This window comes from Homo sapiens, chromosome 6 (assembly GCF_000001405.40).
Source record: "Homo sapiens chromosome 6, GRCh38.p14 Primary Assembly".
Lineage (NCBI taxonomy): Eukaryota > Metazoa > Chordata > Mammalia > Primates > Hominidae > Homo > Homo sapiens.
The window spans coordinates 97,760,997-97,782,711 of NC_000006.12; the positions used below are offsets into that span (position 1 = coordinate 97,760,997).

Genomic DNA, 21,715 nt, shown 5'->3' on the forward strand with positions numbered 1-21,715 from the left:
TAAGTACTCACAGGAGTGATTGCTCTCACTGCTTCCCACCTTAAAACTGCCTTTAAGCCACCAGCAGTTCACATTCCACCTGAGGGTCCATTGTTGCAGCCCTGTTCCTGGAACTAGTTTGTATGTGTGTGTTTGTCTTTCAGATTGTTAGAAAAATAGAACCCGATGATCTCATATAATTGGGGGATATTGTAAGAATGAGGCCTCAGCTCTTCCTTCTTGCTCAGCCATTCTGATGCCTCTCTCACCTCTCTGTTGGCCTCTTGATCTCTTTCTCTGTATTTCATCTTCAAACTCCCTATGCAAGAAGGACATGATCATCCAGGCTAATTACCATCTGATATCCAGCACAAATTTTCATTAGCATTTGGGCTAGACATAGATTATCTGTCCAACAGAAATAGTATTCTTGAAAGCACATGACTTTGCTAGTCATAAAGACTAGTCTGAAGCTGGGCAGAGCTGCTAGCTGATTCCTGAAGGCCTTGAGATCTGACCAGTTAGAGTATAGGCATAGAGTATATGAAGTCACAGAAGAAATATTGAGGAAAAAAAAAAGAAAAATATAATTCCCAGGAAGAAATTATAAATGGTCCCAGTAGCAGCCACCAGCATCATACTAGTTGCTAAATCCAATTAGTGTTATTCAGTCTTTATTTACTTCATCTCTGCAAAATTCAACATTGTTAAAAACTGTGTCCTCCCCTTGATTTTCTTCTCCTTTCTACATCTTCTCACCTTTGTTTTTTAGGATTCCTCTTCTTCTTATCTTCTAAATGTTTGTGCCTCTAAGGCTTATATTTGCCCTCTGTTGATCTTACATTGTCCCTGAAAATCTCATCCAGTTATTGATTATACCATGATTTGCTAGATATATGGCTCCACTCAGAATCTCTCTTGAATTCTAATTTTATAAAGTTAGCTTTTGGCTGGGCATCGCAACTTGCCTAAATGAAGGAACTAAAACTCATTATAAGACACTGTAACAAAAACTGAACTTATTATTGTTTTTTCTTTTTTTAAAAAATAAATTAGTGGTTCTCAGTAGGGGATGATTGAGGTCCCATGGGACGTTAGGCAAAGTCTAGAGACATAGCCTTGACAATGGGTGGGGGTATGTGCTACTGGCATCTAATGCATAGAGGTCAGAGATGGTGGGAAACATCCTACAATGCACAGGACAGTCTCCTCAAATAATTTTTTAAAAAATAGCCCAAAGTGTCAATAATGCCAAGGTTGGGAAACCATGCTGTAAATGTATTTCGCATATTCCCATTGTGTGTGGGAATAGCATGATTATCTGCCGTGTCACATAAGCCTAGAAATCTACAAGTCATAAAGCAATAGTTTGGAGGCAGGCCTTGGAGGCAAGTATCCTGTATCGGAATCCCACCACGGCCACTTACCAGCTGTGTGACCTTTGGCAAGCTACCTAATCTGTAGAATTTCCTCATCTTTATAGGAATATAATAATAATTCCTCTCCCATAGAACTGTTGTGAAGTTTAAATGAGTTATTACAGTCCAGGTGTTTTTTTTGTTTGTTTTTTGTTTTTTGTTTTTTTTTTTGAGACGGAGTCTCGCTCTGTCGCCCAGGCTGGAGTGCACTGGCGCGATCTCGGCTCACTGCAAGCTCCGCCTCCCGGGTTCACGCCATTCTCCTGCCTCAGCCTCCTGAATAGCTGGGACTAGAGGTGCCCGCCACCGCGCCCGCCACCACGTCCGGATAATTTTTTGTATTTTTAGTAGAGACGGGGTTTTACTGTGGTCTCGATCTCCTGACCTCGTGATCCGCCCGTCTTGGCCTCCCAAAGTGCTGGGATTACAGGCGTGAGCCACCGCACCCAGGCCAGGTGTTTTGAATAGTGTTTGGCTCCTAGTAAATGCTCAATAAATATCATTTATTATTTATGTTATTGTTATTCTGACTCTGCCTGACCAACTTCTCCTTCTCTGCTTATTAAATCATTCTTGCTGTTAATGCCTTATTGCACATAACCTTTTTTTTCCTTAAAAAATGCAACAACTTCCTAATTGATCAGTCTTGCCCTGCTTAAATTCATCTTCTATATACTCACTACAGGGTGCTATTTTTAAAGCATAGTATTGATCATGTTACCTTCCAATTTAAAACCCTTCAAAGGTTTGCATTGTTTATAGGAAAAAGTCTCAATTATTTGACATGGCATAAAAAGCCAGAGAGAATAATTTATCTGCAGACATTATTATTTTCATCACTTTCCCATACTCCTCCTATAGCTTGCACTCAAACTTTGCTAAACTACTTCTTATGACCTGAATTCATCATGTTTAAATTTTATTCACAGAAAAACAGAACAAATGATAAGGATGAAATGAGTATCGTTCAATTATTTATCAAGAGTTAAATATAAAGCCAACTGTTGTGATAAGTCCTGAGATAATAAAGGTAGACAAGAAATGATCTCTGCCTTCAAATAATTTAAAGTCTTAACTTTTTCTATTTATTATTATTTAACTACTACTAGTTTTAAGCATAATTCTCTAATTTCTATTCCCAGACTTGTTTTGTAGAAGTTTGTATTTGTTTCTTAGAGGTTTGCTCTTATAATATTAATAACATGGATGATGTAAATTAATCCTTTAAGATTGAAACACTCCAGAGAAATGGCTACAGCCCTTTAGGAAGGTTCTCTGAGATTCATGGTTTCATGGTCAGTTATTAACCTTCATAATCTATCTATTGATAGAAAAAGTTTTGGGTACACATTGTGGACCACATTTTGTCACCTGACATAAGAATTACTGTAGTTGCCTAGAACTATGCATTTAGATTTTTTCCTTGTTCATCATATCACTTGATGTACAAGTGATTTTTGTCACTTTTACATTTGTTATATTTTTGTGACTAATGAGAGTCATCTGTCACTATTTTTCTCCCTCAAATTACTCCCAGACATGGACACAATATTTGATGTAGGCACCTGATCAAGATCCACCAGACTATCAGTGAACTTGAAAGGTTCCCAGGGACCTGATGTTGATGCTATTTCATTACAATGAGAGCAAATGATCAATTTAACATTTCTGAGATTAATGACTATTTTTGTGGTGTTAAAAGGCCACCCGTGAGAGTTTGCATTTTAATTCTGTAGCCCTTAATATATTTAGCAATAAAGCTGTAGATTCAAATAAAATATACAGTATTTTGAAAATACATTACACTCTAAAATTTAATCTACTTTAAAATTGTTATAGACTCTTTGAAATGTCTGTCTGATGATGCCACATAAATTGTCAAAAGCAAGAAAATAGTGATGTGGAAAGTGACAGTCTATTCTTAAACCAACTCCATGTATCACAAGAACTACATAAAATCAGGGAGCCTTAGTCATTATCCATTGTGCTTCAAAATTTGAGTGATTTAGGAGCAGATTAATTTAACTTAAAACTAATCCCCCCATACTCTCTATTTTAACCCCATGAATATAATTCACATGTCTCTAAGTTAGTACTTAGTATTAATAGAACAACCAAAATAATGGAGTGTCTTGTATTCGTATGCCGTCTTTATTTTCCTTATATAACCTGCACTATAAGTGAATTTGACATCATTATTAAATGAGATCTGATACATAATTAAATGTATGCCAATAACGGTAGCCTTATTAATATCTTTGGCATCATTAATTTAGCTTCTCTCCCTTTCTTTCATTAATTTGAAACAACCTCTTTTAGTACCTGGGAACACTTTAAGAACTGTCAAACTTTTCTTCTGCCAGCCTTCAAAGGTCAAAACTAGCTGTGACACCTAAAATTCAAATGTAATTAGTTTGAGATTTACAGGGATTGTATGCCAATCTTCTAGTAGCTTAGAAGTGACGTGGTATCTAACCTTTGGTGGCCTCAAGAGACATTCAGATAGATGTGAAGATAAATAGAAAAATATTACCCACCACATGCACTGTTGGTGTGCCTATTAGATTTCTTTTTTCCTGGTTTGGGTTTTGGAGTTTGTGTTTTTACACTTTCTCTTGATTTTAAGAACAAATCTCTCACAGCATCCTAGCACTGAGTTGGTATTCTTATTTAAAGCTTGGCTCACGTGATATATACTTGGATCATTAAACTGAAGGACTTGTACAGTCACGATTTTTAATGAAGCATGTTTGAATAATTATGCTAATTTACAAAGCACTAGAATCAAATCAAGTGATCAAAGTTTTCATGATTGCTATCATGTGTTCCTAACCCCCCTCTGCCACCCTCACAATTTGCTGCATGTAGAAGTCTTTCCTAGGAATGTGTTTGGAAATGGCTATTAATCAATGCTGAGCCATTAGAAAAAAAATTTTGTAAGCAGCCTAATGCACTTTATGTTATGCTTCTATAGTGGACTATATGTGACTGTAGAGGTAATATTATTCTGCCACACTCTCGCCTAAATACCACCTACAATCGATACTGCATTCTGCCTTGACAGAAAGCTGAATTTTTATCTGTTAAATGCGTGAGCTTGGGGCAGTGATGTGTCTGAAGTGGTTTAAATCTGAAATGTGATGTGCTGCAAAGAGAGTTGATTGACATCTTTGTTTATTGAAAAGTATTACATGAACAACAAAACATAGGCAGAGGCAGAACACTCCATTGCAAAATGCAGCTGTGTTATTTTTCAATCCTATGTGCTCTGCCCCTTTGAAGCTTGTCTGATGTAATAAAGCCAGAGGATATAAAACAAACAAGAATCTTCTTGATTCAACACTCAAAAATTTAGACAAGGATGCCAAAGATGCTTTTTTTTTTTTGTTGTTGTTTTTTTTTTTTTTTTTTGGCTTGGGGTAAAATCTCTCCCACACAATGCTTGCTGCCCTGACATTCTATAAGGATACTTACTTCTGAAAAACTGTACATTTAAAATTATGTTCTTATGTTTATGAATTTGAATATAAATTCAGAATTATTTAATAAGAAAACAAATTGGAGAGGGTTGAATGTTTTTATGTATCCTCTATAAATGAGAAAAAGGACATTAATGACACTAATCTTAAAGCACTAAACATGCAAGAATAAGAAATTAAATTCCCTTTAAATTTTATGTTAGAATAATTATCCCCCTCAATGCAATTTGCCCATGTTTTATTAAAGCTTTATTATGTCAAGGTAAATAGAGGTTAATGCTGCTGTTACTTCTTCCAATGAAGTATTATCTTTAATCTTGCTTTAATAAAATAGTGGCAAATTGCACAGTAGGGGTAATCACCATGGGCTAATTTAGAGAGTTGTAAAATCCTTTACCAAGTATATACTGTAGTTAAAAATAGAAGTAGTCTTAAAAAAACACAAATTGCAATGTAACTTGGAGGAAGTTAAGGAGATTGCTATTCATAATTTCAATTACTTAATTAAATAGATGATTATTGAGTACCTACTATGTGCACTGTTCTGGCTGTGTCGAGGGTATGAAAGTATATAAAAATGGACTTTCTCCCTAAGGAGCTTATGATTAACTACTTGGGAAAATACATAAAAACAAATCACTATTGACTATGAAGCTTGCCATAGCAGAATTGTGAACATCCCTGCCATGGATTTTTAGAAGAGAGAAAGGTCACTTCAGGCAGAAGATCAAGAAGAGGTCATCTGAACTGAGTCTTGAAGGATGGTATAAAATGGAAATGTGTCAGAGGAAAGGGAAGGATATTTTAGGTAAGGAAATGGCAAGAGCAAAGGACTGGGGCCAAAGGGTACCAGATGTCCAATCAATATTTTCTTGCCAGGTTCAATCAGAGCTGAGAGTTGGACTGAAAGACCAGTCAGAGTCTATTACAAAAAGCCAGTTGAGAAGCAGAGAGGTCTTCTACCATTCTGGATTGGACAGCCTTAGCTGGAAAAAAATTTCGCTAGGTATATATAATATATATGAATATGTGCATATATTTATATATAATATATATAAAATCTCCCACATTACTGAGTTAATATACTATATACATTATTAAACATATGTACAAATAGAAAAAAGGATGCTTTTTGTTTTTTATCTTCACATTTCTTTTATGTATTTTTTAAAATTTTAATTTAATTTAATTTTAAGATCCAGGATACAAGTGCAGGATGTGCAGGTTTGTTACATAGGTAAACGTATGCCATGGCGGTTGGCTATACCTATCAACCCTTCACCTAGGTATTAAACTCAGCATGCATTAGCTATTTTTCCTAATGCTCTCCCCCTCCCCACCCTGCCCCCTGACAAGCCGTCGTGTGTATTGTTCCCCAGCCCTGTGTCCATGTGTTCTCATTGTTCAGCTCTCGCTTGTAAGCGAGAACTTGGGGTGTTTGGTTTTCTGTTCCTGTGTTAGTTTGCTGAGGATAATGGCTTCCAGCTCCATCCCTGTCCCTTCAAAGGACATGATCTCCTTCCATTTTTATGGCTGCATAGTATTCCATGGTGTATATGTACCACATTTTCTTTTTCCAGTCTATCATTGATGGGCATTTGGGTTGATTCCATGTCTCTGGTATTGTGAGTAGTGCTGTAACGAACATATGCGTGCACATATCTTTATAAAAGAATGGTTTATATTCCTCTGAGTATATACCCAGTAATGGGATTGCTGGGTTAAATGATATTTAATTTTATTTCTACCTCTAGGTCTTTGAGGAATAGCCACACTGTCTTCCCGAATGGTTGAGCTAATTTACATTTCCACCAACAGTATAAAAGCATTCCTGTTTCTCCACAGCCTTGCCAGCATCGGTTGTTTATGGACTTTTTAATAATTGCCATTCTGACTGGCGTGAGATGGTATCTCACTGTGGTTTTGATTTGCATTTCTCTAATGATCAGCAATGTTGAGCTTTTTTTCACATGTTTTTTGGCTGCATAAGTGTCTTCTTTTGAGAAATGTCTCTTCGTGTTCTTTGCCCACTTTTTAATGGAGTTGTTTGTTTTCTTCTTATAAATTTAAGTTCCTTGTAGATGCTGGATATTAAGCCTTTGTCAGATGGATAGATTGCAAAAATTTTCTCCCATTCTGTAGGTTGCCTGTTCACTCTGATGATAGTTTCTTTTGCTGTACAGAAGCTCTTTAGTTTAATAAGATCCCATTTGTCAATTTTGGCTTTTGTTGCAGTTGCTTTTGGCATTTTCATTATGAAATCTTTGCCGGTGCCTATGTCCTAAATGGTATTGCTTAGGTTTTCTTCAAGGGTTTTTATAGTTGTGTGTTTTACATTTAAGTCTTTAATCCATCTTGTTAATTTTTGTGTAAGGTGTAAAGAAGGGGTCCAGTTTCAGTTCTGTGCATAGGCTAGCCTATTCTCCCAGCACCATTTATTAAATAGGAAATCCTTTCCCCATTGCTTGTTTTTGTCAGTTTTGTCAAAGATCAGATGGTTGTAGTTGTGTGGTCTTATTTCTGAGATCTCCATTCTGTTCCATTGGTCTATGTGTCTGTTTTTGTACCAATACAATGCTGTTTTGGTTACTGTAGCCCTGTAGTATAGTTTGAAGTTGGGTAGCGTGACGCCTCCAGTTTTTTTTTCTGCTTAGAATTGTCTTGGCTATGTGGGCTCTCTTTTGGTTCCATATGAACTTTAGTTTTTTTCTAATTCTAGGTAAAGAATATCAGTGATATTTTAATGGGAATCTCATTGAATCTATAAATTACTTTGAGCAGTATGGTCATTTTCATGATATTGATTCTTCTTATCCACGAGCATGGAATGTCTTTCCATTTGTGTCCTCTCTGATTTCCTTGAGCAGTGGTTTGTAGTTCTCCTTGAAAAGGTCCTTTACTTCCCTTGTTAGCTCTATTCCTATTTATTTTATTCTCTTTGCAGCAATTGTGAATGGGAATTAATTCATAATTTGGCTCTCTGCTTGTTTATTGTTGGTATGTAGGAATGCTTGTGATTTTTACACATTGATTTTGTATCCTGAGATTTTGCTGAAGTTGCTTATCAGCTTAAGAAGCTTTTGGGCTGAGATTCTGGGGTTTTCTAGATATAGGACCATGTCATTTGCAAAGAGTGACAGTTTGACTTTTTCTCGTCCTATTTGAGTACCCGTTCTTTCTTTCTCTGGCCTAGATTGCCCTGGCCAGAACTTCCAACACTATGTTTAATAGGAGTGGTGACAGACAGCATTTTTGTCTTATGCCAGTTTTCAAGGGGAATGCTTTCAGCTTTTGTCCATTCAGTATGATATTGGCTGTGGGTTTGTCATAAATGACTGTTACTATTTTGAGGTATGTTCCATCAATACCTTGTTTATTGGGAGTTTTTAACATGAAGGGATGTTCAACTTTATTAAAGACCTTTTCTGTGTCTATTGAGATAATCATGTGGTTTTTGTCTTTAGTTCTGTTATGTGATGAATTACATTTATGATTTGCATATGTTGAACGAGCCTTGCATCATGGGGATGAAGCCCACTTGATTGTGGTGGATACGCCTTTTGATGTGCTACTGGATTTGGTTTGCCAGTATCTTATTGAGGATTTCTGCATTAATGTTCATAAGGGATATTGGCCTAAAGTTTTCTTTTTTTGTTGTATCTCTGCCAGGTTTTGGTATCAGGATGATGCTGGCATCGAAAAATGAGTTAGGGAGGAGTCCATCCTTTTGAATTGTTTGAAATAGTTTCAGAAGAAATGGTACCAACTCCTCTTTTACCTCTGGTAGAATTCATCTGTAAATCCATCTAGTCCTGGGCATTTTTTGGTTGGTAAGCTATTTATGACTGCCTCAATTTCAGAACTTGTTATTGATTTATTCAGGGATTCAAATTCTTACTGTTCAGTTTTGGAAGGGTGTATGTTTCCAGGAATTTATCCTTTTTGTCTAGATTTTCTAGTTTATTTGCATATAGCTGTTTATAGTATTCTCTGATGGTTGTTTGTATTTCTGTGGGGTCCCCTTTATCTTTTTTGTGTGTCTATTTGATTCTTCTCTCTTTTCTTCTTTATTAGTCTAGCTAGCAGTCTTTTTTTTTTTTTTTTTTTTTGAGATGGAGTCTCACTCTATTGTCCAGTCTGGAGGGCAGTGACACGATCTTGGCTCACTGCAACCTTCATCTACTGAGTTCAAGTGATCCTCCTGCCTCAGCCTCCCTAGTAGCTGGGACTACAGTTGCATGCCACCATACTCAGCTAATTTTTGTATTTTTAGTAGAGACAGCATTTCACCATGTTGTCTAGGCTGGTCTCGAACTCCTGACCTCAACTGATTCGTCTGCCTTGGCCTCCCAAAGTGCTGGGATTACAAGCAAGAGCCACCATGCCCGGCCCATGGTCTATTTTTTTGATTTTTTTCAAAAAATCCAGCTCCTGGATTTGTTGATTTTCTTTGGAAGGGATTTTGCTGTCTCTATCTTTTTCAGTTCCGCTCTGATCTTGTTTATTTCTTGTCTTCTGCTAGCTTTGGGGTTTGTTTGCTATTGGTTCTCTAGTTCTCTTAGTTGTGATGTTAGGATGTCAATTTGAGATCTTTCTAACTTTTTGATATGGGCATTTATTTATTAATTTATGACCATAGTTTTGTTAAGTATAAAATAGGAATAATAGTAACTATATAAATTAATTTGTGCAAATTCAAATGGGAAAACCATGTTTTACATCAGTTCTACTGGGATTATAAAGCACAAGGATTTAATTATTATGACATAGTAACTTTATAAAATGAAGTAATCAGAGACATTATTTAATTGGAAGGGCATAACTAGGATCAACATGGATAAAAGTGCTAAAAGGAAACAAATTCAAATCAACATTATAAGTATAATTCTTATAAGAACAAGTATACATTATAATTCTTAATTATTTTCACCCCATGTTCAAAATGAAACATATTAAAAATTATTTCTTGATTTGACCATGAAAAGTAAATGCCTCCCTTTAAGACTTAAGTAATGAATGAATAAGCTATTGAAGTTGTCTGTGGATAGTACAAATATTTTAACCCTAATTTGGGAATTACTACATGGTATATATTAAAAAATGTAAATACAGACCCTTCTTTCCCTAACTTATCTTTTGTTCAGCACAGCTTGTGCATCTGTACCTCATGATCAATATTTTCCAAGTATACTGTAGTTTTATACAATAATCTTATTAGATCATGGTATGTATTTTTAAGCAATACAGTATCTGTAATTTGAATCTAAAGCTTATTTATTTCTCAGGTAAAATATTTCTACTACATAGTGTCGTATAACGCAGAAGTACTAGTTTCTAGATTTTTCACCTAATCACCAGTATTCTTACACTGTAACAGTATTTCATGTCTGCAGGTGAATTGTAATTTCCTCAAGGACAGACACCTTATTTTCTATACTGTTTTACCATTTTGCATCTTAAAGCAAAATTAGAGACATATTTTCAGTGTTTCTCTAGCATTTTTTCTTTATGGAATGCTCTGGGATATTCAAGTTTGGGTTGTACAGTGAAGGATGAAAAGAATCAAAATGACTCTCCATTACTCAGGGGTATTTAGAAAAGTCAGGACTACAGCGTGACAGTGAGTTATGGGCCCTCTTATCTTGTGTTCTTGCTTAAGAAAAACTATTTAGTGAATGGATCCCACTTTTTTGCATATGAATAGGGTCACAATCATTCATGCAAACAGAAACATGCCGTCTTTCTTGGTGCTGACTTAGTTTTTCATCAAGCCTCTTCTCTTCTACTTCCAGACATGACATGCACTCTACTGTGTGGCATGATGGGCCCTTCTCAATAATCTGTGTAAGACAAGTTCATATCTTTTGTTGTAAAAAAATAACCTTTACACACTGATGAAAATGTTGTTGAAACATGGCACATCTTTAAGTCTCACACACAAGGTGAGAAGCACTACCAATTGACTCTACAAAAGCATAAACCAGAACATAATTTTTGCACTTAAAAACACTAAGACCTGAAATTAGGAAACTGTAAAACTGCAGAAGCACTCAAACCAACATACAGCTTTACTCTGAGTAATATAAGAGTAGAGGTATTTTAGACCTAATACACAGAGTTCTAGGTGTAATTCTGTTAAGCAGCTTTACATTTTGCCATTAGAACTATTTCCCCTCTGTGTTAAGCTTTAATATCCTTTCAAATGCATTAATGTGTCACCAGAACAGACTCTCACAGACTCCTGGCTGCTTTAAATATTTCCATTTTAATAACAGCTTCAGATCTTCACTCAGAGCTTTATATACCCCTTACTGTCACAGAGGCTTGTGAAAGACAGAAGGAAACAGCTCATCATCCACAAAAGTCATCCAATGTACAATTGTTTGCTTTAGAATACAACCCACATGAAAATTAAAGGGAAACATAATTTACATTTGATTTTCTCTACCCTTTGTGCTCATCTCTGAATACTTCTACAGACATTTTTGAAGTTCCTGTAAGGACGGCTTAAATTCTCTCTTTCTGAAAGTGACTGTAGTTTCATACTAAAAGAGTTAAGGTCCCTCTCTTAAATCTCAGAAAGGCAGAGTAGAGCCAAATGTTGTTTAGACCTTCATAATGTGAGGTGTTGCAATCAGATTTGCTATTAAGTAGCATGGGAGCTGAGAGGTAAGGAGTAGCACTTCACCAATGCAGCAGGGTTAAAACGTTTGTGACAGTGGTGATGGTTCTTCATGTTTGTCTAAAAGGAAAAGTGGGCATTTAATATTTTGTGTAATTTCTGACCTTACCGGTAACCACTGTCATGCTTCAGAGAAAGCCAATAATAATTTTGGGATTAAGGAACAGGGATAAGTTAAGGCAAACTAGAAGAAGGTTCCAGATATAATCTTGAAGACCTGCAAAAGTTTTCATTACAAAAATGAAGACAAAATTAGAACAGGCTAGAATGACTATGAAGACACAAATAAAATAAGGAGTTGGCGGGGTAGACAAACTGTCAGAAGACAGAGGATCCTGGGCACATTTTTTATTTTTTATTTTTTATTTTTTTGAGACGGAGTCTCGCTCTGTCGCCCAGGCTGCAGTGCAGTGGCGTAATCTCGGCTCACTGCAAGCTCCGCCTTCCAGGTTCACGCCATTCTCCTGCCTCAGCCTCCCGAGTAGCTGAGACTACAGGTGCTTGCCACCACACCCGGCTAATTTTTTGTATTTTTAGTAGAGACGGGGTTTCACCATGTTAGCCAGGATGGTCTCGATCTCCTGACCTCATGATCCGCCCACCTCGGCCTCCCAAAGTGCTGGGATTACAGGCGTGAGCCACCGTGCCCGGCTGGCACATTTTGTACTTTGCTCATATTGTTTATCTATGAGTATTGTGCCATTTAATATTACACCTTCAAAAAATGCGATTTGGGGCTAGGCGTGGTGGCTCACGCCTGTAATCCCAGCACTTTGGGAGGCCGAGGTGGGCAGATCACCTGAGGTCGGGAGTTTGAGACCAGCCTGACCAACATGGAGAAACCCCGTCTCTAAGAAAAATACAAAAATTAGCCGGGCATGGTGACGCAATGCCTGTAATCCTAACTACTCGGAAGGCTGAGGCAGGAGAATCGCTTGAACCCCAGAGGTGGAGGTTGTGGTGAGCTGAGATTGTGCCATTGCACTCCAGCCAGGTCAACAAGAGCGAAACTCTGTCTCAAAAAAAAAAAAAAAAAAAAAAAATGTGATTTGCCAAAGATGGTAAACTCTTTGTTCCCTTACTGAATTTTGGTTAATTTATAATTGTTAATGAAAATATGAGGCAAAACTGCATACTCTCAAATGATAGTTCACTCTGATCCACCAGAAAGAGGAATAAGAATGAGGCTCAACATTGTGGGACTAGGCTCCAACCTAAGTGAGTGTTTTAAACTAACTTAGTGTGTTCCTCATTGATGACAATGACCTATTTGAAGTCTTCCCCTCTTCATTACACCCTCAGTGATCCCAAAGGGTCTTATCTAATTTGTTTTCTTTGGTAAACTGAAAATAACTATGAATTAATTTCACTTTAATTAACACATATCTTTGAACAATTGAGTGTCTCTCTTTATTTTTATTATTTATTTATTCATTCATTTATTTATTTTTGAGACGGAGTTTCGTTCTTGTTCCCCAGGCTGGAGTGCAATGGGGCCATCTCGGCTCACTGCACCTCTGCCTTCTGGGTTCAAGCAATTCTCCTGGCTCAGCTTCCCGAGTAGCTGGAATTACAGGCACCTGCCACCAGTCTCTTTTATTTTAAATACTAGTTTAGTTTAGTTTGAATGTTTGGTGTATCCAAACAATCAAATCAGCAAACAACACCTGAATTCCAAGTGTTAATTTCCAATTGTTTGCCACTTTTCACATTGATATCACACCAGAAACTACAACACAATACATTCCAAAAAAGTTTAACATTTTTACTCGTAATTCCCTGCTCTTCTGTCTCTTTCTGTTACTAACACTTTATTCACCCAGACCCACAGGCTCAAATCCTTGGAGTTTCCATTGACTTTTCTCAAGCAAAGCTTACATTTTAAGTTTATAATACTTTCTTCCTACTCTTTTATATTCTAATTCTTTCCTGCTCTTATGACTACCACTATGGCAGAGGTCCTCAAGGAGCACAAGATAATCTATTAAGGAAGAAAGAAATCATTAGGATTTCTACAAAAACAACAACAACAAAAAATCCTTAGGGGAGGGGCCAAGATGGCTGACTAGAAACAGCTGCAGTCAGATGCTCCCACTGAGAAAAATGAAAATGGCAAGTGAATCCTGCACCAACAACTGAAGTATTAGGGTCTCTCACTGGGATTGACTAGATGGTTAGCACGACCTATGGAGAGCGAGGAAAAACAGGGTAGAGTGACAGCCTACCCGGAAGCCACACAGGTAAGGGGAGCTCCCACTTCCCGCCAAGGGAGGCAGTGAGTGAGTGTGCTACCCCACCTGGGAAACCACGTTTTTTTCCATGGATCTGTGCAACCCATGGATCAGGACATCTGCCTCGTGAGCCCACGGCACCAGGGCCTTGGGTCCCAAGCACAGAGCTGTGCAGATTCTCAGTGGCCACTCAGCTGCAGACTGCCTAAGACTAGTGAGTTCCTGGAGTGAAGGGCATCAGTCCTCATTGCCTCTGCCTGCTGCCTAAGATGACTGAGCTCCGCGGGGAAGGGCAGCAGCCATCACTACAGCTCTAGTCAGCCATTTTTCCCCTGCTGGCGCTGGGGAGACTGAGTAGTTTGGACCCAGGAGGAATTCCTCACAGTGCAGCACAGCAGCTGACAGATGGTGACCAGACTACCTCTTTAGGCTGGACTCTGACCCATTCCTTCTCACCGGGTGGAGCCTCACTGCAGGAATTTCAGCAACTCCAGCCAGGAGTTCACAGACAGAACTCTTGATTTCCCTGGGAAGGAGCCTCAGTGGGGAGGGACGGTCACAGTCTCCAGGGATCAGCAGTCTTAGTCTTTCCTCCTGCTGGCTCTGAGGAATCCAGGCACTCCCAATGAGAGGAATTCCCCCGAGTGCAGTGTACCCTCACCAAGGGGCAGCCAGAGTGCTTCATTAAGTGGGTCCCTGATACCATGCCTCCTGACTGGGTGAGACCCACCAACAGGGGCCACCAGACACCTTACACAGGACCATTCCCGCCAGCATCAGGTTGGTGTCCCTTTGGGACAGAGCTTCCAGAAGAAGGAGCAGGCAGCCATCTTTGATATTCTGCTGCCTCCACTGGTGACATCGTCAGGTGAAGGAGGGACCCAGCTGAATTGGGTCTGGAGAGAACTCCCAGCAAACCGCAGCCCTATAGAAGAGGGGCCTGACTGTTAAAATAAAAACAAACAGAAATCAACGACAACAACAGCATCAACAAAAACATTCCCACAAAAACCCTATCCAAATGTCAGCAACCTCAAAGATCAAAGCTAGATAAACCCATGAAGATGAGAAAGAAAACTAAAAACACGGAAAACTCAAAAAACCAGAGTGCCTCTTCTCCAAATGATCATAACACCTCTCCAGCAAAAACTGGGAGGAGGCTGAGATGGATAAATTGACAGAAGAAGCCTTCAGAAGGTGGGTAATAATGAACTTCACTGAGCTAAAGGAGCTAAGTTCTAACTCAATGCAAAGAAGCTAAGAACTATGATAAAACATTACAGGAGCTGTTAACCAGAATAACCAGTTTAGAGAGGAACATAAATGACCTGATGGAGCTGAAAAACACAACAGGAGAACTTCGCAATGGAGCCACAAGTATGAATAGTCGAATAAACCAAGGGGAGGAAAGAATTTCAGAGCTTGAAGGCTACCTTGCTGAAATAAAACAGGCAGACAGGATTAGAAAAAAAAATGAAAAAGAACAAACAAAACCTCTGAAAACTATGTGATTATGTAAAAAGACCAAACCTACGACTGATTGGGGTACCTGAAAGAGATGGGGAGAATGGAACCAAGTTGGGAAACATACTTCAGAATATCATAGTAACTACATCACAAGGTTATTGTAAAGATTAAAGAGAATAATATATATTAGTATAAATTACTCAATGTAGGGTGCCAGTTATTATTATTAATTTGTAAAACATACATACTTTTACCTATCATGATAATCTTGTTTTGTTACAAAAGAAAAATTAAGACAAATGGGAGATAGAAGAAACACAGAAAGTGTAGAACACATAGAAAACATAAAAATAAATGTAAATATATTAAACTCCCCAGTTAAGGAAAAAGATTTTCAGTCTGTTAATATCCAGTTGTATGCACTATATATGCTCAGTGTGTTTACAAGAGATGCAGTGGAGATTTACAGATAGACAAATATGCAATTCAAAGTAGGGGAAAAGATATAGCAGATAAAGTCTAACTACATGAAGCCTGGTATGAAATATTAATTTCAGATCAAATAGAAAACAGATAAAGAGAATCATTTTATGATGACAAAAAATTCAAGTCACAGGCACTCAACAATTTTAATTGTTATGTACTTAACAACATAACTTCAAAATAGTAAAGAAAAAATTGGCAGGACTGCAAGATAAATTGAAAGCCTACCTTATTATTGAAATAATTTAAATAATGGAGTAAATGATAAATTAGGCAAATAAAATATTAGTAGGATATTAAAATTTGAACTGCCCAAGTACAAGTTCAACCTAGGGGATGGGCATTAAAGTACACCCCCCAACAACTGTGACATGTGCATTCTTCTTAAGCACATCTAGAACATTTATGAAAATTGACTATGTGCTAAGCCATAAAAACTAACCTCGACAAATTTCAAAGATTAGTGTCATGAAGACCACACTCTGCTTGCAATGCAATTGCATTAGTAAAAAACAACAAAAACTACAAAACTCCCAAACATTTGGAAGTTAAAAAGCAAAGCTCCAAGTAATTTTTAATGAACGTTAGAAAGTATTTACACCTGAATTATTTTAGAAAGTATTTACACCTGAATTATTTTGAAAATACTACATATCAAAACTTTGGGATATAGCTAAAATGTAATTTAGACCAAAATGTATGGTTCTAAATGCTTTTGTTAGAAATGAAGAAAGTATAAATTTCCAACTTTATAAGTTAGAAAAAAGAACAATAGAAAAAAGATTGGAGAAAAGAATTGCAATAAAAGCAGAAATCAATATTATAGAAAATAAATATTTACTAGAAAGGTTTAACAAAGCATTTTTAAAAAATGAATAAAATAGGCCAACTTTAGCAAAATTGTCAAATAAGAAGAGGTGCTCCTTGTAACAAAATAATATTTAGTATGGAAACGGGGGTATAACTACAGACATAGGAGATATTAAAATAACTTAAGATGCTAATCAATAATTTTATATCAATAAATTTACAAGCATTTTAAGATACATTTATCAAACTAGTTCAAGAGAAGTCAGTACAAGAAAGAAATAAGCAGATTACTCCTGGAAATAGATGCAGAAATCCTAAGCAAATCAAATCCTGTAATGTATAAAAACCACACATTAAAGGCATTTTGTGTTTGTCCAAAAATACATAATTTAATATTAGAAAATCAATTAGTGTAATTAAAATAGCAGCATATTAAGGAAGATAAATTACAAGATTATGTCTTCAGATACAAAAAAAGCATTTGGTAAGATTCAATAAAACAGAAACTATTAGCAAGTGAAGAAGAAAAGAAACTTCCTAACATTGATACAGTCTATAAAAGCCCAAAGCAAATATTATATATGCTTAATGAGAAAATATTGAAAGCACTGTCTTTAAGATAAAAACAAAAAACAAGCAAACAACAACAACAACAAAAAACCCAAGAATTTTTGCCATACAAAACCATTTTTTTTTCTTGGGAGTATGGGTTTCCCTAGAGTATATTGCAATGGGGAGAAAATGCCACAACTCTTGTGGGAGTTGGAGGCCAAGTGTTGACTCTAGCATCTAATGAGAAATAAAGTTGCATTGTAAATCAAAAACAAAATCTAGGCCCCCCAAGTGACTGAAAAGATCCCTTTTGTGGGCCAAGGGCATTCCAAGGTAAACCTGATAAACTAGTCTGGCCATGATAGAAAGGAGCGTTCAGACATGCCTTGTTACAGTCTCCTCCCTTTGGAATTCAGGTACAATTGACCAACATTAACATTAAAATAGAGGTCTTAAGAGTGATAAAATAGATTCTTTGTAGCAATAAGATACCAAATTTAGTATAGCATCACAAGACAAATAGCAGTCCGTGAAAGAAACTGTATGTTTTACCCCAGAATATATTTCTTAGACATATTTTGAAATGACCCCTGTAAAGCTATCTCTTGTGGGGAAAACTTTCATTCTGTAGAGAATCTCCTTCCCTTTTCAGGTCTTTTCCTGATCTAGAAGAGGTTAACTAAGAGTCTGGCACCTTTTTATGCCTAATTAGAGACAGTTACGGCTATTTTTTCTGAGGCCTGCTACCCGAAGTCTTCATCTGCTTTAAGAACCTTGGTCTCCACAGCCCTTGTTATCTTAATAGTCCTTTCTGTTGATTCCAGATCTGTAGATAATAACTTAACTCTTTCAACCAATTGCTAATCAGAAAACCTTTGAATCCATGAATCCAACTGTGACCCGGAAGCCCAGCCCTTTCCCCACTTTAAGTTGTCCTGCCTTTCCAGACTGAACCAATGCATACCTTGAATATACTGATGTATTGATTGATATCTTATGTCTCCCAAAAATGTATAAAACCAAGCTGTCATCCAATCACCTTGTGCCTATGTTCTCAGGACCTCCTGGGGCTATGTCATGGGCACTAATATTTGGCTCAGAATAAACCTCTTTAACTATTTTACAGAATTTGACTCTTTTCATCAACACCATAATGTGATAATGGTGGTGATGCTGATTATAGCCATGGTGATAATGATGTCTTTATACAGCAGAGTTCCAAATTATTAGCGTATATTAATTCATTCTTCAGAAATTTTTTGTGTACTTGCTATGTGCTAAGAAATAAGAAATAACTTTTCCAGTAATCAAAAACTTGGTCTTCTTAATCAGTAAATTATCTCACTATATATGATCTTCCTTTTTATTATGGGCTGTTCTGGGTACCTTTTGTCAGGCCTCTGAGCCCGAGCCCAAGCCAAGCCATCGCATCCCCTGTGACTTGCACCAAGTATACGCCCAGATGGCCGGAAGTAACTGAAGAATCACAAAAGAAGTGAATATGCCCTGCCCCACCTTAACTGATAACATTCCACCACAAAAGAAGTGTAAATGGCCAGTCCTTGCCTTAAGTGATGACATTACCTTGTGAAAGTCCTTTTCCTGGCTCATCCTGGCTCAAAAAGCACCCCCACTGAGCACCTTGTGACCCCCACTCCTGCCCGCCAGAGAACAAACCCCCTTTGACTGTAATTTTCCTTTACCTACCCAAATCCTATAAAATGGCCCCACCCTTATCTCCCTTCACTGACTCTCTTTTCGGACTCAGCCCGCCTACACCCAGGTGAAATAAACAGCCATGTTGCTCACACAAAGCCTGTTTGGTGGTCTCTTCACACGGACACGCATGAAATTTGGTGCTGTGATTCGGATCGGGGGACCTCCTTTGGGAGATCAATCCCCTGTCCTCCTGTTCTTTGCTCCATGAGAAAGATCCACCTACGACCTCAGGTCCTCAGACCGACCAGCCCAAGAAACATCTCACCAATTTCAAATCCAGTAAGCAGCCTCTTTTTACTCTCTTCTCCAACTTCCCTCACTATCCCTCAACCTCTTTCTCCTTCCAATCTTGGTGCTACACTTCAATCTCTCCCTTCTCTTAATTTCAATTCCTTTCATCTTCTGGTAGAGACAAAGGAGACACATTTTATCCGTGGACCCAAAACTCCGGTGCCGGTCACGGACTGGGAAGGCAGCCTTCCCTTGGTGTTTAATCATTGCAGGAACACCTCTCTGATTATTCACCCATGTTTCAAAGGTGTCAGACCATGCAGGGACGCCTGCCTTGGTCCTTCACCCTTAGTGGCAAGTCCCACTTTTCTGGGGAAAGGGCAAGTACCCCAACCCCTTCTCTCCTTGTCTCTACCCCTTCTTTGCTTTTCTGGGAGAGGGGCAAGTACCCCTCAACCCCTTCTCCTTCACTCTTAGCGGCAAGTCCTGCTTTTCTAGAGGAGGGGCAAGTACCCCAACCTTGTATCTCTCTGCCCCAATCCCTTATTTCCACGCCCTGACCTCTTATCTCTGTGCCCCAATCCCTTATTTCCATGCCCCAACCCCTTATTTCCATGCCCCGACCCCTTATTTCCATGCCCCGACCCCTTATTTCTGCACCCAATCCCTTATTTCCACACCCCTACCTCTTATCTCTGTGCCCCAACCCCTTTTCCCACTTTTCTGGAAGGTAAGAACCCCCAAACCCCTTCCCTCCATTTCTCTACTCTCTCTTTTCTCTAGGCTTGCTTCCTTCACTATGGGCAACCTTCCACCCTCCATTCCTCCTCCTACTCCCTTGGCCTGTGTTCTCAAAAACTTAAAACCTCTTCAACTCACACCTGACCTAAAACCTAAATGCCTTATTTTCTTCTGCAATGCCGCTTGACCCCAATACAAACTGGACAGTAGTTCCAAATAGCCAGAAAATGGCACTTTGAATTTTTCCATCCTGCAAGATCTAAATAATTCTTGTCATAAAATAGGCAAACGGTCTGAGGTGCCTGACGTCCAAGCATTCTTTTACACATCAGTCCCTTCCTAGTCTCTGTGCCCAGTGCAACTCATCCCAAATCTTCCTTCTTTCCCTCCCGCCTGTCCCCTCAGTACCAACCCCAAGCGTCGCTGAGTCTTTCTAATCTTCGTTTTCTACAGATCCATCTGACCTCTCCCTTCCTCCCCAGGCTGCTCCTCGCCAGGCTGAGCTAGGTCCCAATTCTTCCTCAGCCTCTGCTCCTCCACCCTATAATCCTTTTATCACCTCCCCTCCTCACACCTGGTCCGGCTTACAGTTTCATTCCGTGACTAGCCCTCCCCCACCTGCCCAGCAATTTACTCTTAAAAGGGTGGCTGAAGCTAAAGGCATAGTCAAGGTTAATGCTCCTTTTTCTTTATCCCAAATCAGATAGCGTTTAGGCTTTTTTTCATCAAATATAAAAATCCAGCCCAGTTCATGACTTGTTTGGCAGAAACCCTGAGACGCTTTACAGCCCTAGACCCTAAAAGGTCAAAAGGCCGTCTTATTCTCAAAATACATTTTATTACCCAATCTGCTCCCGACATTAAATAAAACTCCAAAAATTAAATTCCGGCCCTCAAACCCCACAACAGGATTTAATTAACCTCGCCTTCAAGGTGTACAATAATAGAAAAAAGTTGCAATTCCTTGCCTCCACTGTGAGACAAACCCCCCAGCCACATCTCCAGCACACAAGAACTTCCAAACACCTGAACTGCAGCGGCCAGGCATTCCTCCAGAACCTCCTCCCACAGGAGCTTGCTACCTGTGCTGGAAATCTGGCCACTGGGCCAAGGAATGCCTGCAGCCTGGGATTCCTCCTAAGCCGCGTCCCATCTGTGTGGGACCCCACTGAAAATAAGACTGTTCAACTCACCTGGCAGCCACTCCCAGAGCCCCTGGAACTCTGGCCCAAGGCTCTCTGACTGACTCCTTGCCAGATCTTCTCGGCTTAGCGGCTGAAGACTGACACTGCCCGATCGCCTCGGAAGCCCCCTAGACCGTCACGGACGCCGAGCTTCGGGTAACTCTCACAGTGGAAGGTAAGCCCGTCCCCTTCTTAATCAATACGGAGGCTACCCACTCCACATTACCTTCTTTTCAAGGGCCTGTTTCCCTTGCCTCCATAACTGTTGTGGGTATTGATGGCCAGGCTTCTAAGCCTCTTAAAACTCCCCAACTCTGGTGCCAACTTAGACAATACTCTTTTAAGCACTCCTTTTTAATTATCCCCACCGGCCCAGTTCCCTTATTAGGCTGAGACACTTTAACTAAATTATCTGCTTCCCTGACTATTCCTGGACTACAGCTGTATCTCATTGCCGCCCTTCTTCCCAATCCAAAGCCTCCTTTGCGTCCTCCTCTTGTATCTCCCCACCTTAACCCACAAGTATAAGATACCTCTACTCCCTCCTTGGCGACTGATCATGCACCCCTTACCATCTCATTAAAACCTAATCACCCTTATCCCATCCCGCAGCACGCTTTAAAAAGATTAAAGCCTGTTATCACTTGCCTGCTACAGCATGGCTTTTTAAAGCCTATAAACTCTCCTTACAATTCCCTCATTTTACCTGTCCTAAAACCAGACAAGCCTTACAAGTTAG

At 38.8% G+C, this 21,715-nt stretch overlaps 4 annotated features.

The window, feature by feature from the left end:
- Positions 3,457–5,829: an enhancer, noted in NCBI's record as "VISTA enhancer hs1220". NCBI's record gives its function as "enhancer in: branchial arch[4/5]" and the evidence as "EXISTENCE:transgenic organism evidence [ECO:0001131][PMID:17130149]".
- Positions 18,313–19,089: an enhancer, noted in NCBI's record as "OCT4-NANOG-H3K27ac-H3K4me1 hESC enhancer chr6:98227185-98227961 (GRCh37/hg19 assembly coordinates)". NCBI's record gives its function as "activates a minimal SCP1, AML or CMV promoter by ChIP-STARR-seq in naive H9 embryonic stem cells {active_cell/tissue: H9 hESC(naive)}" and the evidence as "EXISTENCE:reporter gene assay evidence [ECO:0000049][PMID:30033119]".
- Positions 19,866–20,642: an enhancer, noted in NCBI's record as "NANOG-H3K27ac-H3K4me1 hESC enhancer chr6:98228738-98229514 (GRCh37/hg19 assembly coordinates)". NCBI's record gives its function as "activates a minimal SCP1, AML or CMV promoter by ChIP-STARR-seq in primed H9 embryonic stem cells {active_cell/tissue: H9 hESC(primed)}" and the evidence as "EXISTENCE:reporter gene assay evidence [ECO:0000049][PMID:30033119]".
- Positions 20,643–21,417: an enhancer, noted in NCBI's record as "H3K27ac hESC enhancer chr6:98229515-98230289 (GRCh37/hg19 assembly coordinates)". NCBI's record gives its function as "activates a minimal SCP1, AML or CMV promoter by ChIP-STARR-seq in primed H9 embryonic stem cells {active_cell/tissue: H9 hESC(primed)}" and the evidence as "EXISTENCE:reporter gene assay evidence [ECO:0000049][PMID:30033119]".